General features: G+C 48.8%; 1 protein-coding gene across 6 annotated transcripts in view, besides 6 other annotated features; it reads left to right on the forward strand.

The window, feature by feature from the left end:
* Nucleotides 3,188-3,776: an enhancer, noted in NCBI's record as "NANOG-H3K27ac hESC enhancer chr7:128856579-128857167 (GRCh37/hg19 assembly coordinates)". NCBI's record gives its function as "activates a minimal SCP1, AML or CMV promoter by ChIP-STARR-seq in naive H9 embryonic stem cells {active_cell/tissue: H9 hESC(naive)}" and the evidence as "EXISTENCE:reporter gene assay evidence [ECO:0000049][PMID:30033119]".
* Nucleotides 5,161-5,210: an enhancer, noted in NCBI's record as "active region_26627". NCBI's record gives its function as "activates an Ori minimal core promoter by ATAC-STARR-seq in GM12878 lymphoblastoid cells {active_cell/tissue: GM12878}" and the evidence as "EXISTENCE:reporter gene assay evidence [ECO:0000049][PMID:35858748]".
* Nucleotides 8,458-8,752: a silencer, noted in NCBI's record as "tiled region #13971; HepG2 Repressive non-DNase unmatched - State 3:PromF". NCBI's record gives its function as "represses a minimal TATA promoter and a strong SV40 promoter by Sharpr-MPRA in HepG2 cells {active_cell/tissue: HepG2}" and the evidence as "EXISTENCE:reporter gene assay evidence [ECO:0000049][PMID:27701403]".
* Nucleotides 10,984-11,093: an enhancer, noted in NCBI's record as "active region_26628". NCBI's record gives its function as "activates an Ori minimal core promoter by ATAC-STARR-seq in GM12878 lymphoblastoid cells {active_cell/tissue: GM12878}" and the evidence as "EXISTENCE:reporter gene assay evidence [ECO:0000049][PMID:35858748]".
* Nucleotides 11,374-11,443: a silencer, noted in NCBI's record as "silent region_18627". NCBI's record gives its function as "represses an Ori minimal core promoter by ATAC-STARR-seq in GM12878 lymphoblastoid cells {active_cell/tissue: GM12878}" and the evidence as "EXISTENCE:reporter gene assay evidence [ECO:0000049][PMID:35858748]".
* The window catches only part of AHCYL2 (adenosylhomocysteinase like 2), a 205,182-nt gene continuing 200,463 nt past the window's right edge, over nucleotides 11,480-16,198 (forward strand). For all 6 annotated transcript variants that reach the window (NR_171671.1, XM_047420088.1, XM_047420087.1 and 3 more), the window contains exon 1: nucleotides 11,480-11,889. Coding sequence is in view for 4 of the 6 variants with exons in the window: in XM_047420087.1 (XP_047276043.1) it covers nucleotides 11,527-11,889 (363 nt within the window). In the remaining 2 variants the exon portion in view is untranslated. The remainder of the gene's footprint in view (nucleotides 11,890-16,198) is intronic.
* Nucleotides 11,564-11,813: a silencer, noted in NCBI's record as "silent region_18628". NCBI's record gives its function as "represses an Ori minimal core promoter by ATAC-STARR-seq in GM12878 lymphoblastoid cells {active_cell/tissue: GM12878}" and the evidence as "EXISTENCE:reporter gene assay evidence [ECO:0000049][PMID:35858748]".

Here is a 16,198-nt window from a genome sequence, read left to right on the forward strand (position 1 = left end):
GGTGTGTTTTTCCTTTTTTTTTTCTTTTTCTTTCTCTCTCTTTTTTTTTTTTTTAATTGAGATAAAAGTCTCACTCTATCCCCCAGGCTGGAGTGCAGTGACATGATATTGGCTCACTGCAACCTCCGTCTCCTGGGTTCAAGCAATTCTGCCTCAGCCTCCTGAGTAGCTGGGATTACAGGTGCCTGCCACCACACCCAGCTAATTTTTGTATTTTTAGTAAAGAGGGGGTTTCACCATGTTGGCCAGGCTGGTCTCGAACTCCTGACCTCAAGTGATCCACCCGCCTCGGGCTCCAAAGGGCTGGGATTACAGGCGTGAGCCACCGCGCCCAGCTAGTGCGTTCTTTCTTCTATGGGCTCCGATCCTGGCCTCCTTACCTTGTCTTGGTCCCAATCTTTTTGGTCTTCCCCATCTTCCCGAGGGTGCTCTGAAAGGCCAAGAGCTTTGTGCTAATGTGGCCACGGCTGACAGTCAGATGTCAGGCTGATGGCGCCCTCATGTGCTGGCTGTCCACCTGAGCCAGTCGGCTCTATATGAACAAAAGCTCTTCTGTGACCACGGCTGCCTCGCGGAGCAGTGATCACAAGATAATTGAGCACAGGCATGCAGCTTCCCCTGGGGTGATGGTGTCTGCCTGATGGGAGTGGAGATGGGCAGGACTCCTCGAGGCATTCCTGGACCTCATCTCTGGGGGCCTCTTTCTTCTACCAGGGACGTCCATTGGGCTAGACGCATTCTGATCCACAGCTTCCTCCCCTGGCCAGTCAGGGAAGCCTGTTAGCCCCACTTCCTCCAATGAGATAATCAGTAGAAGACTGGGAACTGGGGTGCAAGGGCTCAGGATTATGAGAGAAGGAGGTCTGTGTAGCAAAGGGGCTGGTGCCCACAGACCTGGCGGGTATTGTGGAGTACAGACCAGGCTTGTTTGGGGAGTACTCTTTTTTGTTGTTGAAATAGAGTTTCACTCTATTGCCCAGGCTGGAGTGCAGTGGCACAATCTCAGCTCACTGCAACCTCCGCCTCCTGGGTTCAAGAATTTCTCCTGCCTCAGCCTCCCGAGTAGCTGGGATTACAGACGTGTGCCACCATGCCCAGCTAATTTTTGTTTGTTTATTTATTTATTTATTTATTTATTTATTTATTTATTTTGAGAATGAGCCTTGCTCCATCGCCCAGGCTGGAGTGCAGTGGTGCCATCTCAGTTCACTGTAACCTCTGCCTCCCTGGTTCAAGCGATTCTTCTGCCTCAGCCCCCCAAGTAGCTGGGATTTCAGGCGCGCACTACCACACCCCACTAGTTTCTGTATTTTTAGTAGAGACAAGGTTTCTCCATGTTGGCCAGGCTGGTCCCAAACTCCTGACCTCAGGTGATCCGCCCGCCTTGGCCTCCTGAAGTGCTGGGATTACAGATGTGGGCCACTGCGCCCGGCCTAATTTTTTTTTTTTTTTTGAGACAGAGTCTCCCTGTCGCCCAGGCTGGAGTGCAGTGGCACAATCTCGGCTCACTGCAAGCTCTGCCTCCCTGGTTCATGCCATTCTCCTGCATCAGCCTCCCAAGTAGCTGGGACTACAGGTGCCCGCCACCACGCCCGGCTAATTTTTTGTATTTTTAGTAGAGACGGGGTTTCACCATGTTAGCCAGGATGGTCTCAATCTCCTGACCTCGTGATCTGCCCGCCACGGCCTCCCAAAGTGCTGGGATTACAGGCGTGAGCCACTGCGCCCAGCCAGGAGTAGTCTTTGAATGCTGCTCATGTGATGAGGACACCGCATTTTGACCATGGCCAGATTCCAGGAGAAGGGGAAAGGGAATACTAACCCACGGATTGTATTCCTAGGCACTTTACATGTGTATTAATAATAGCTAACTCTTGGCTGGGCACAGTGGCTCATGCCTGAAATTCCAGCACCTTGGGAGGCCGAGGCAGGAGGGCTGCTTGAGCCCAGAGTTTGAGACCAGCCTGGGCAACAAAATGAGACCCCCATCTCTACAAAAGATTAAAAAATTAGCGGGGCGTGGTTGTGTGCCTGTGGTCCCAGGTCTTGGGAGTCTGAGGTGGATTGCTTGAGCCCAGGAGCTGGAGGCTGCAGTGAGCTGTGACTGCATCACTGTACTCTAGCCTGGGCAACACAGCAAGACTCTGTCTCAGAAAAAAAAAAAAGCCTCCCCCTCCCCCTCCCCCTGCCCCTCTCCCTCTCTCTTTCTTCGGTCGCCCTCTGTTGCCGAGGCTGGACTGTACTGCCGTGATCTCAGCTCGCTGCAACCTCCCTACCTCAGGCTCCCATGATTCTCCTGCCTCAGCCTGCCAAGTGCCTGGGATTGCAGGCGCGTGCCGCCACGCCTGACTGGTTTTTGTATTTTTGGTGGAGACGGGGTTTCGCCGTGTTGACTGGGCTGGTCTCCAGCTCTTGACCTAGAGTGATCTGCCCACCTCGGCCTCCCGAGGTGCTGAGATTGCAGAGTCTCGCTCACTCAATGCTCAATGTTGCCCAGGCTGGAGTGCAGTGGCATGATCTCAGCTTGCTACAACCTCCACCTCCCAGCCGCCTGCCTTGGCCTCCGAAAGTGCTAAGATTACAGCCTCTGCCCGGCCACCACCCCATCTAGGAAGTGAGGAGCGTCTCTGCCTGGCCGCCCATCGTCTGGGATGTGAGGAGCCCCTCTGCCCGGCCGCCCCGTCTGGGATATGAGGAGTGCCTATGCCCGGCCGCCCCGTCTGGGAAGTGAGGAGCACCTCTGCCTGGCCGCCACCCTGTCTGGGAAGTGGGGACCACCTCTGCCCGGCCGTCACCCCGTTTAGGAAGTGAGGAGCGTCTCTGCCTGGCCGCCCATCGTCTGGGATGTGAGGGGCACCTCTGCCCGGCCGCCCATCATCTGGGATGTGAGGAGTGCCTCTGCCCGGCCACCACCCCATCTGGGAACTGAGGAGCGCCTCTGCCCAGCTGCCCCGTCTGAGAAGTGAGGAGCCCCTCTGCCCAGCCGCCCATCATCTGGGATGTGAGGAGCGCCTCTGCCCAGCCACCCACCGTCTGGGATGTGAGGAGCGCCTCTGCCCAGCCGCCACCCCGTCTGGGAAGTGAGGAGCGCCTTTGCCTGGCCCCCCTTCGTCTGGGAGGTGAGGAGCGCCTCTGCCCGGCTGCCCCGTCTGGGAGGTGAAGAGCGCCTCTGCCCGGCTGCCCTGTCTGGGAGGTGTACCCAACAGCTCCAAAGAGACAGCGACCATTGAGAACGGGCCATGATGACGATAGTGGTTTTGTCGAAAAGAAAAGGGGGAAATGTGGGGAAAAGAAAGAGAGATCAGATTGTTACTGTGTCTGTGTAGAAAGAAGTAAACATAGGAGACTCCATTTTGTTCTGTACTAAGAAAAATTCTTCTGCCTTGGGATGCTGTTAATCTATAACCTTACCCCCAACCCCGTGCTCTCTGAAACATGCGCTGTGTCAACTCAGGGTTAAATGGATTAAGGGCAGTGCAAGATGTGCTTTGTTAAACAGATGCTTGAAGACAGCATGCTCGTTAAGAGTCATCACCACTCCCTAATCTCAAGTACCCAGGGACACAAACACTGCAGAAGGCCGCAGGGACCTCTGCCTAGGAAAACCAGAGACCTTTGTTCACGTGTTTATCTGCTGACCTTCTCTCCACTATTATCCTATGACCCTGCCACATCCCCCGCTCCGAGAAACACCCAAGAATGATCAATAAATCCAAAAAAAAAAAAAAAAAATGCCAACTCTTAGTGTATGCTTGCCGGGTACTTCTCTAAGCACTTTGTGTACATTAATTCATCAAATTTCACAGATTCAGACCTGTGAGGCTCTGTTAACACCCCTCAAGATACTGAGGCACAGAGAGTTTCAGTAGCTTGCCCAAGACCACACAGTAAGTGGAAATGCTGGCATTTTGTTGGCTCCAGTGGGCACTTAGCCATGGTGCTCCACTGTCTCTTGTTTAATTCAGAGAATAATAAACCAATCAGAGGAGCTCATTTTATGTGTTAGGTTGATGCAAAAGTCATTGCAGTTTTTGCCATTTTATTTTATTTTATTTTAAGTATTTTGAGACAGAGTTTCACTCTTGCTGCCCAGGCTGGAGTGCAATGGTGTGATCTCAGCTCACCACAACCTCCACCTCCAGGGTTCAAGTGATTCTCCTGCCTTAGCCTCCCAAGTAGCTGGGATTACAGGCATGTACCACCACACCTGGCTAATTTTGTATTTTTAGTAGAGATAGGGTTTCTCCATGTTGGTCAGGCTGGTCTCAAACTCCCGACCTCAGGTGATCCACCTGCCTTGGCTTCCCAAAGTGCTGGGATTACAGGCGTGAGCCACTGAGCCCAGCCAGTTGTTGCCATTTTAATTGGAAAATATAAGCTCAGTGAAGCAAAATGACTTGCTTGCTACCCCGCAGCTAGTGAGTGACAGACACTAGGTCCAGGCTCTTCCTGACTAGTGTCCAGGCTCTTTCCACGCTTAATCCCGCCTTTGATTTTTCTCTCTATCCAGGTTTCCTGGTTTATGTTCCCTCTGGCCATCCCACATCCTCTTACACCTGCTCTTCTTGTTCTTCCCGGCCGTTACTGCTTCCCTTAGCATTGTTACAGCTATTTTTTAGCCTTTATCAACAACAGTATTTAAAATAATGAAAGTTATCAGTGCTGTTTAAGGATCTTTTCTGAAACAAAGGGGAGTGTTACAATGTTCTTCTTTTCATCTCCAAAGACAGTTGACTACTAGTTTTCCTCCCTCCTTCTATCCTTTCTTTAGTGGGATTACTTATGTAAAGGATGGGAGATGGGGTGAAAGGGGAGTTCAATCTGGGCCTTAAAAGCTGAGAAATAGGCCAGGCACTGTGGTTCACGTCTGTAATCCCAGCATTTTGGGAGGCTGAGGCGAGAGAATCACTTGAGTCCAGGAGTTTGAGACCAGGCTGGCCAACATGGCGAAACTGTGTCTCTACAAAAAATAAATTAGCCAGACGTGGCGGTGCATGCCTATAGTCCCAGCTACTCGGGAGGCTGAGGTAGGAGGACTGCTTGAGCCCGCGAGGGTCAAGGCTGGCCGAGAATGCACCACTGCACTCCAGCCTGGGCGCTGGGCTACAGCAAGCACCACCCTGTCTCCAAAAAAACAGCTGAGAAATGTGACATTTGTGCAGAGACTCTGTGGCCACTAGGGGGCAATGTGAGCCCACCTTTGTGAATGCAGATGTCCAGCACCATGGACACTCCCACAACCAAGAAATCTTCCAGTAGTATCCCTACGGGAGCATCAATCTCAGGACTGAACAACAGTAACCACCCTTCTACCAAAAGCTCCTGAGTGAGATCCCCAAAGAAACCCCTCAGGATCCAAGGGGAGCCTGGTTTGTGGGACTCCCAGTTTGGGGGACTCCCTGCTATGCTGTTGCCCTGAAAACACAGCTCCCCATGCGTGCCCCTCATCACAGGCTCTGCCCTCAGCTGCCTCATTGGGCCTCTTACCATTCTTTCAAATTCAGCTGGCCTTGCCTCTGTTTGTTCCAGCTTCCTTAAAGCAGTCTGTCCACTGCCCATCTTTGTTCCTCTGTGCTTTTTTTTTTTTTTTTTTTTTTTGAGACAGGGTGTCACTCTGTTGCCCATGCTGGAGTGTTGTTCCTCTGTCTTCTTTTTTTTTTTTTTTTTTTTTTTTGAGACAGGGTCTCACTCTGTTGCCCAGGCTGGAGTGCAGTGATGCAATCTCGGCTCACTGCAGCCTCAATTTCCTGGGTCAGGCGATGTTCCTGCCTCAGCCTCCCAAGCTGCTGGGACTACAGGTGCACATCACCATGCCAGCCTAATTTTATTTTTTGTAGAGATGGGGTCTCACTATGTTGTCCAGGCTGGTCTCCAACTTGGTCTCGGCCCAGGTGATCTTCCTGCCTTGGCCTCCCAAGGTGCTGAAATTGCAGGCATCAGCCACCGTGTTCAGCCTCTGCCTGCTTTTTTATTTTTATTTTTAGAGACAGAATCTTGCTCTGTTGCCCAGGTTGGAGGGCAGTGGTGCAATCATAGCCCACTACAGCCTCAAACTCCTGGGCTCAAAGGATCCTCCGGCCTCAGCCTCCCAAGTAGCTACAACTACAGGCATGTACCATCATGCCAGACAAATGTTATTAAAAACAAATTTTTTTTAGAGACAGGGTCTGGTCATGTTGCCTATGCTGGTCTTGAACTCCTGGCATCAAAGTGATCTTTTGCCTTGGGCTCCCAAAGTGTGGGGATTATAGGCATGAGCCACTATGCCCAGCCTACTTTTGTTTTTAAGAAATTGAAACGATATAGAAAAGTACAAAGAACAACCTAATAAACACTCATATTCCCACCACTCAGAATTATCAACTTTTTATCATTTTATCATATTTGCTTCAGATCTTTTTTTTTTTTTAAAGAAAAGTATAACAGATTTAGCTAAAGTACCCTTTGACCAATACCCCACCCCACTCTCCCCGCTGCTCAAAAGGAAAGCAAGCCTGGGCACAGTGGCTAGCACCTGTAATCACAGCACTTTGAGAGGTTGAGGTGGGTGAATCACGAGCTCAGGAGTTCAAGACCAGCCTGGTTAGCATGGTGAAACCCCATCTCTACTCAAAATAAAAAAAAAATCAGCTGGATGTGGTAATGCGTGCCTGTAATCCCAGCTACTCGGGAGGCTGAGGGAGGAGAATCGCTTGAGCCTGGGAGGCGGAGGTTGCAGTGAGCCGAGATCCTGCCATTGCACTCCAGCCTGGGCAACTGTGTGAGACTCCATCTAAAAAAAAACAAAAAACAAAAAACCACAAAAAAACAGGCTGGGCACGGTGGCTCATGCCTGTAACTCTAGCACTTTGGGAGGCCAAGGCAGGCAGATGGCCTGAGCTCAGAAGTTTGAGACCAGCCTGGGTAACATGGTAAAACCCCGTCTCTACTAAAATATGAAAAATTAGCTCGGCATGGTGGTGGGTGCCTTTAGTCCCAGCTACTCGGGAGGCTGAGGCAGGAGAATTGCTTGAACCTGGGAGGCGGAGGTTGCAGTGAGCCGAGATTGCGCCACTGCACGCCAGCCTAGGCAACAAGAGCGAGACTCCGTCTCCAAAAAAAAAAAAACAACTAGAAGTTCGAGACCAGCCTGGGCAACATAGCAAGAGCCCTACTCTACCAAAAACATTTTTTTTTAATTAGCCAGGTGTAGTGGTGCAAACCTGTAGTTCCAGTTACTTGGGAGGCTGAGGTGGGAGGATTGCTTGAGCCCAGGAGGCAGAGGTTGCAGTTAGCTATGATTATGCCACTGCACTCTGGCCTGGGCAGCAAGAGTGAGACTCTGTCTCGAAACAAAAAACCAAAGTTTTCTTCATATGTCTGGTGACTTTGGTTGTCTGTTCATACTTAAGAATGTGACACTAAATTGTTCACGGAAGCTCTGTGAACATGAGTATGGTCTTCAGGGCGGGTGATCTGGCTGGCTTATTTCCTTTGGAAACTCTCAATGTTAGTATCTTTGTTTTCTCTCTTGGATTGGTCAGATACCTCAGAGAAATTCTTCTTTTTTTTTTTTTTTTTTTTTGAGACACAGTCTTGCTCTGTTGCCCAGGCTGGAGTGCCGTGGCGCAATCTCAGCTCACTGCAGTCTCTGCCTCCCAAGTTCAAGCAATTCTCCTGCCTCAGCCTCCCGAGTTGCTGGGACTACAGGCGTGTGCCACCACACCCAGCTAATTTGTGTATTTTAGTAGAGACGGGATTTCACCATGTTAGTCAGGCTGGTCTCAAACTCCTGACCTCGTGATTTGCCCGCCTTGGCCTCCCAAGTGCTGGGATTTCAGGTGTGAGCCACCGTGCCTGGCCAAGAAATTCTTCTTTATTGGCCGGGCGCGGTGGCTCAGGCTTGTAATCCCAGCAGTTTGGGAGGCCAAGGCGGGCAGATCACGAGGTCAGGAGATTGAGACCATCCTGGCTAACATGGTGAAACCCCGTCTCTACTAAAAATACAAAAAATTATCCGGGTGTGGTGACACGTGCCTGTAGTCCCAGCTACTCGGGAGGCTGAGGCAGGAGAATTGCTTGAACCCAGGAGGCAGAGGTTGCAGTGAGCCGAGATCATGCCACTGCACTCTAGTCTGGGCGATGGCACGAGACTCCATCTCAAAAAAAAAAAAAGAAAAAGAAAAAAAGAAATTCTTTTTTATACCAATGTCCTGCATGGACGTTACATTCCTGCTTGCCAGCGTTCTGGAAGCTGAATGAGCCGGGTGAAGGAAGAAGACCTGTAGTCCAAATATTTCATTAAATAGTTCATAAACTGGTGCTTAATTACCCTGTTTCTAGTATGTAATTTGATCTTCAACTGTACCTGGTGTCCCTCAGCTACAAGGATGGCAGAAGCAGCAGGTATGTAGGGATGGAGTTGACAACAGGTTGAAGAATGTGTCCTGATGGTTGGCCCCAATCAGTGGTGGTGACTGGAATAAAACAGGGTATCAGTTTCATTCCAGTGCTCTAACTCCTTATATTTTATAACCACATCACACTGAAGAATTAATTCATCCTCTCAGTAATCAATTCTAGTGGCAGGTAGGCAGCTGCTGCCTATGAGCTCCAACACATGCCAGGTGGCTGTACCGTAGCTCCCTTGAGCATTAGGGGGAAGAATGAAATCAGTTACAGAGCTGCTAATCTCTGCTCCGACAGCTGGAGGATGAAGCTCTGGGCTGGTTTCTTTTTAACAGGAAGGAAATTCTGAAAGCCGGAATGTGAAGAAAAAACTTAAGAATCTCTTGTGTCTTGTGAGCTCTGTGGAAATGGCAGTGCTCAGATGCCTTCCGACATGTACTGTGAGGCACAAATTTGGAGATCAGGAAATGAGAGCCTCCATTCAAGGCAGGACAACCACACAGAGTGAACAGATTTCCAAAATAGTAGGACAGGAAAGAAGATCGAGGCAGGTGATTTCTCTCCCTTCTCCTTCTTTTTTTTTGAGACAGAGTCTTGCTCTGTTGCCCAGGCTGGAGTGTAGTGGTGCAATCTCGGCTCACTGCAACCTCCACCTCCTGCGTTCAAAGGATTCTCCTGCCTCAGCCTCCTGAGTAGCTGGAACTACAGGCAGAAGCCACCACGCCTGGCTAATTTTTGTATTTTTATTAGAGATGGGGTTTCACCACGTTGGCCAGGCTGGTCTCGAACTGCTGACCTCAAGTGATCCACCCGCCTCGGCCTCCCAAAGTGTTGGGATTACAGGTGTGAGCCACCATGCCTGGCCTCCTTCCTTCTCCTTGCCAGGCAAAACACAGTGACACCAAAGACTAGATGTCTAAAGAGTAGCTGTCCAGTGGCTGCCTGGGTTGTTAGGGCTGTAAGTCTCTGAAACAGCTGTAAACTGTATGAACCCCTTTGCTCCTGTTTCTCTGAGCATAGAGAGGAACCCCCCCCATAATCTGTCGCGAGTCAACTGCATTTTGTTTTTTTAAAGTATTCTTTTTTTTTTTTTTTTTTTTACGAGACGGAGTCTTGCTCCGTCGCCCAGGCTGGAGTGCAGTGGGGCGATCTCTGCTCACTGCAAGCTCTGCCTCCTGGGTTCACGCCATTCTCCTGCCTCAGCCTCCCGAGTAGCTGGGACTACAGGCGCCCGCCACCACGCCCGGCTTATTTTTGTATTTTTAGTAGAGACGGGGTTTCACCGTGTTAGTCAGGATGGTCTCGATCTCCTCACCTCGTGATCTGCCTGCCTCGGCCTCCCAAAGTGCTGGGATTACAGGCTTTTTAAAGTATTCTTTACATAAAATCTTATGGCATGTGCAATTTTGTCTCTTGCTTCTTAGCTTAATGTTTTTATCATAAGCATTTATTCTGAAAGCCAGAATGCCTTGATCTTCTTTCCTGTGCTATTACGATTTTGGAAATCTTCACTTCGTGAAGTTGTCCTGCCTTGGAGTCTCTCATTTCCTGATCGCCAAATTTGTGCCTCACACTATGTATCGGAAGGCGTCTGAGCACTGCCATTTCCACAGAGCTCACAAGTGTACCAGACACAAGAGTTTCTTAGCTTCCTCTTCACATTTTGGCTTTCAGAGTAAAGAATGAAAAAGGGAAAACCTTGTTGTTAAAAAGTATTGGCAAACAATTTTCTTTCTTTCTTCCTTTTTTTCTGGGACGGCATCTCACTCCGTTGTCCAGGCTGGAGTGCCGTGGCATGATCTTGGCTCACTGCAGCCTCTGCCTCCCAGGTTCAAGCGATCCTCCTGCCTCAGCCTCCCAAGTAGCTGGGATTTCAGGTGCCCGCCACCACGCCTGGCTAATTTTTGTATTTTTAGTAGAGATGGGGTTTCACCATGTTGGCCAGGCTGGTCTTGAAGTCCTGATCTCAAGTGATCTGCCGGCCTTGGCCTCCCAAAGTGCTGGGATTACAGACGTCAACCACTATGCCCAGCTGGCAAACGATTTTCAAAGGCTGTAACAATTGCTCTATTTGTTGGACATTAGTTTTAGACAGTTTTTTGTTATTAAAAAGGACGCTGCGGTGCATGTCTTTTTGCTTACATCCTCTAAATGTAAAATTTAAAAATAATACAGAAAAGTACAAAGTAAAAATCACCTTAAATCCCATCACTTAGGAAATTAACTACTCATATTCACTATTCATATCCCTCTATGCTGATATATGTATCTGAATTTCAGATGATTGCCCTATTAGAATTATAGGTGAAAAGATTTGGCCTCGTTTAAGGCAACGTGTAATTCCTCAGCCTTGAATTTTGATCTAGTGATACCTAACTTCTTTGAGGAATGATCTTAGCTTCCAAACCCAGAATGTGACAGAAAGCGCCACAGCAAGCAAGGTCCTACTTTATCCCTTCTAAAAACAAAGCCACTGAAGTTTGGAAGGGTGTTGAGTTCTCAATATCACAAAGAAAAATAAAGCCACTTCCAGCCTGGAGCCGCCGCTTCTCCTTTAAATACTCGCTCACGTGATCGCAGACGGGCACGCGCGGAGGAACTTCACGCTGTCAGGACAACGAGCCATTCCTCTACCACTTCCCCTCCCCTAAGGCTTCTTGGCGTTCCCTCCCCGGAAGTCACAACTCCTCTGGAGACTTTCTCTTCCTCATCCCCTCCGTCGAGTCACCTATCCTCACTCCTTTCTGTTAGCTGCCGGCCCTAGCGCTCCCTCTCCTCGGCTGAATCTCACTTAGTGGAGGAAAGGCTGAAAGGACTACAACTCCCAGGGGACGCTGCGGGCCCCGCCCATGGGGCGCGCAGTGTAGGTCGGGGCCTGAGGTCCCACGGTCTTCTCGCCGCGTGCGGCCGGGAGCAAACGCACTACAGGTTCCGTGGCGCCTCGCGCGAGGCCAGACCGGGACGGGGCGGGGCGGGGCTGGAGGGGCCGGGACTGGCGGGCGGAGAAAGGGGGTGGGAGAGGAGGCGATGGAGGGGAGGAGTGGGGACATGGGGGAGGGAAGAGGAAGGGAGGTGGGAGGCGGGGCCGACCAAGAGCAGGAGCTGGAGTCTGAGCCGGTGGTTGCAGCGGAGGCGGTGATGTCGGTGCAGGTTGTGTCAGCCGCGGCTGCCGCCAAGGTGCCTGAGGTGGAGCTGAAGGACCTGAGCCCCTCCGAGGCGGAGTCGCAACTAGGACTGAGCACGGCCGCCGTGGGCGCCATGGCCCCCCCGGCGGGCGGTGGAGACCCTGAGGCTCCAGCTCCCGCCGCGGAGCGGCCCCCGGTCCCCGGCCCGGGCTCGGGGCCCGCCGCCGCTCTCAGCCCCGCCGCCGGGAAGGTGCCTCAGGCGTCGGCCATGAAGCGGAGCGACCCACATCACCAGCACCAGCGGCACCGCGACGGCGGCGAGGCCCTGGTCAGCCCCGACGGCACCGTCACCGAGGCGCCGCGCACAGTCAAGAAGGTACTGGGGCCGGGCTGCCTCTCTAGGAGAGGAAGGGAGGGGAGGGGAACTGCAGATCCTCTCGGCACGGCGGCACCACCCTCCACGCCCTCCTTTCTGATCGCAGGACCGGAGATACCCCTTGTCCCCTTAAACCCACTCTCTCAGAGATGCCCCCCAGCCGGCCCCTCGTGCTGGGAGCGGAGACTCCAGGAGGCACGGCCGTACTTCGCTCTGAATAACATGGAGGTAGCGCTCTCCCCTACTACTTGGAATAGGCAGCGGGAGGAGAGACACCTAATAGTACGTCCCGCGGCCCCAACACGCTCCCGGGTGTGATTTTCCAGCCTATCGGGGAAGAGACCTCGATAGTATAGAAAAACCTTACCGCTCACGGGAGTTCACACAGCAATAAGGATGAAAAGATCTTTAATACTTGGAGAACGAGTAAGGTGTAGTCACCTTGCATAGAAATCGTCAGAGTTGTCTGGTTTCCATACAGTTGATGACTTTCTGCCTTTCTGTGGCCAACCGTGGCCATACAGCAACACGATGCTGTGCCCTTCATTTCCAGCGACTGCGATATTCTCTCTTCCCTGAATATGTAAAAGGGTAATGGAGAGATTCTCCTCACTCTTTCGTGTTAAGAGCTTTGTCCTCCCTGCTGGGTATAGTTGGTCACCAGGATTATTAGGCTGTGTATGAAGAGAATGAATGTCTTATTGATTGCTTTATTATAATCTGAAAGTGATAGGAAGAAATGCTGCTACTTTTGGGAAAGACGATCTTTGTGGGGTTTTCGGTCTTAGGCGTCAGCTTCTTTCAGACAGTTTTGAGGAGGTCTCAGAATACCAAGAAGTAACTGCCTAGGTGGATGATAGCCCTGTATTACCCGTACATTGTCTATCCATAGTTGTCTGTCTCTCTCAAAGCTTGTCTTTCTTTCTCTCTTAAAGCTGAATCAGCACAGAAAAACAGGGCAAGTATTGGAAAAGACAGAAGTGTGGATCATATAAAAAGGGCTTACAGCTTCAATTTCGTAGACACAGTATGGGCACAGGGATTAATGTTTTTTTTAAATTGTTGTGAATGGTTTTTAATTGCTTTATCAGAACAGCAACAAAGAGACGGGAAGTGTGCATTGGTTTTACTGTGTGGGACCAGCTGAATTGGAACCTTGGATCCACCATAACTTTTTGTTGTCATAGCGTCATGATTAAGGTATAGCGGATAATCCTTTCATCCTAACGATACAAATTTAGGTGATAAGTCAGAGGCAAGACTGAAGGAATTTCTGTAATGCTTTAGACAATGTCTTTGTCGTTTGTAGTATGAAACTCCTCTGGGAAGAATTAGAGTAGAAAGAGGCAGCATCCTGCAGAAATGGGTTTAAAGAAAAAAAGTAAAGTAAAAAAGAGAGGCAGCAGCAGCACCAGTGCTGGGAGTACCTAGATCTGAGTCTGGAAATCCAAAGCATACTTCTGACTTGTTGAGATACTTTGTATCGTTAAGTCATTTTCTTGTGATAAAGACTGTTTTTGTCTAAACTTTGTAATTTGGTTAGATTTCTTTAGGCTAAAAGTGTTTAACAAATTGCTTTTAGAGCATGAAGTTTACAGTCAGGCAGACCTGGATTTGAAGCCTAGTACCCCCATTACTACCTTTTGGGTAATTTCCAAATTACACAAATCAGTTTCCTCTTCTATAAAATGAAAGTACTAATTATGATTGAGGATTAGAAATATTTGTAAAAGGTTTAGCATTGAGCTTGGCACATAAAGTCTTAAATGATATTCTTACTAATGCTTTTATTATTATGAATAATTGATTTTATTTTATTCCTCCCATCATGGCTTAAGTGCAAGCCCCCATGACCACCTCTGAAAGTTACACACAGTTCAATATATTCTATATAAAGAAATTAAAAAATCATGGCTCACGTCTGTAATCCCAGCACTTTGGGAAACCACGGCTGGTGGATTGCTCGAGTCCAGGAGTTTGAGAACAGTCCGGGCAACATGGTGAAAACCTCTCTCTCCAAAAAAAAAAAAAAAAAAAAGAGCCGGGCATGGTGGTGTGTGCCTATAGTCCCAGCTACTCAGGAGGCCGGGGTGGGAGGATCACCTGAGCCCAGGAAGTTGAGGCTGCAATGAGCACTCTAGCCTGGGTGCTGGAGTGAGACCTTGTCTCAAAAAAAAAAAAAAAAAAAAAAAAGTTAAAAAATCAAAGACCAGCATACTGGAGTCTGTTTTTCTTAATTCTAGATGTGCTTCTTGACCACTTTCCTTGTCGTTGAACCATCTTCCTGTTTTTTCAGCACCAAATGTATGTTCCATGATTGTAGATATACTCAGCAGCCTCAAGGCTATTGTAAAGCAGGGCTGAGCTTGCCTTACAATGTTAATTGCACCAAAAAAACAACTTCTCTGCTGAAAGTTAAGCAGGTGAAGCTCTGGGCAAGGATACAGCTGGATGACGAAATTCAGGGCATTGCTGAGCTGCTTTTCAGGTGCCCAATCTTTAACCTTCTTGATATTGAATTGGCTAAATCAAAATAAGTGCCCAAGACTGCCCTTTCCCTAAGTTGAAAGTCATCTCACCAAGGAACTGCAGTGTGACATTTTGATTTGTTGAGCCTTTGTTGATTCTTAGATTGTCTATGTAAATAACCACTTTGACCTTGACTCCTTACTGTTTTTCTTATAGCATATGAAGGAACTGAGAATACTAGTATTGAAATAGCTGCCTTTGGCTGTGGAACTGGTGACTGTTGCATTTGTTTTTTAACTTTCATGTATAAACATTTATTTTAAGTCACATTTCCATAGATGGTTTTCCTTACTTCATTCACATATCATCAGTTTTCTTAGTTTTGTTACTCTGCTCAGCCACACAAGGGGAATAAACTTTTTACAAGAGCCAGAATTCCCAAGTGCAGTAGTTAATAAGAAGGAACATATGGTGTGCAGGTTACTCAATCACATCTTATCTTTGGCACCTGCCTCCGTCCTGTAACTTGCGATGCTCTGGGGGCCAGATCATGTTATGTGGCTATGATATATTTAATTATAGTGTCCTTTTTCATAAGTTGACATCAAGTGAACCCAGCAAGCCAAAAATCTCTATAAGAAGTAATTTGGGAAATGGGAAGGTAAGTTCCACAGGGAATGAGGTAGTACTAGCTGAAAGGGATTTCTTCCTTGTGTTCTTGAAAATGAGTGATAGGAGTGTTGGCGCACAGCAGGGAAAACAAGGCAGGAGAGGATTTATTTCAGAAATATTAAAACTTTCTGACAATAAGGCTGCAAGCCCAAGAACCTCAACTAGATTGTGCTTACATCAGTATCAGTAATGACCGTGTTCAAACAGACCCTTTATTGCTTTTGGCAAACATATCCACCTTCCACTGGCTTTGTTGCTGTCAGGAGAGAATGAGTTGAGCCATGTTAGCACTTCTTGTCCTGAATTGTTTAAGCTCTTGATTTGGTTAATTATAGAGTACTAAAATGGAATGTTTTGGATAAAGACATGGGAATGTGGTAGCAGTATGACTCCTTTTGCCTGTTACAAGAGTACTGCTCTGAAAAGTGTTCAGTAAGGCAATTGGCAGTTGGTCTGTAATAATAGTTACCAATAATTAGCCTTTTTTTTTTTTTTTTTTTTTTTGAGACAGAGTTTTACTCTTGGTGCCCAGGCTGGAGTGCAATGGTGCAATCTCAGCTCACCGCAACCTCCGCCTCCCGGGTTCAAGCGATTCCCCTGCCTCAGCTTCCTGAGTAGCTGGGATTACAGGCATGCACCACCATGCCCGGCTAATTTTCTATTTTCAGTAGAGATGAAGTTTCTCCATGTTGGTCAGGCTGCTTTCAAACTCCCGACCTCAGGTGACCTGCCTGCCTCGGCCTCCCAAAGTGCTGGGATTACAGATGTGAGCCATTAGCCTTTTATGTGCCAGGAGTTGTCATAGGGGTTCTGTAATCCTCACAACCATACTATGAGATGTAGGTGGCATTATTTCCATTTTATAGATGCAGAAATGAGATCCTGGGAGGTTAAGTGCCTTGCCCAAGGTTATACATCTAGAAAGTGTCAGAGGTAGAACTTAAATCCAGGGCTGTCCGTCTCCAAAGCCCATGTCCTTTTCATTATGCCACAGTGATTCTAACTTCTTAGATGCTGAGTTCTTGCTTTCTCCCAGAGGTCTTTTAGAATACTAAGTGAACTCTAAGGCGTGTCTGTCTGGCTAAGGCTTAGGTCATCCCAAGACCAAAGTAAGGCAGGTCTGAGTTAGAGCTTTAGGAAGAGGATGGGAGAAAATTGTACAAATGTA

The sequence above is a fragment of the Homo sapiens genome, chromosome 7 (genome assembly GCF_000001405.40).
Source record: "Homo sapiens chromosome 7, GRCh38.p14 Primary Assembly".
Taxonomy (NCBI): Eukaryota; Metazoa; Chordata; class Mammalia; order Primates; family Hominidae; genus Homo; species Homo sapiens.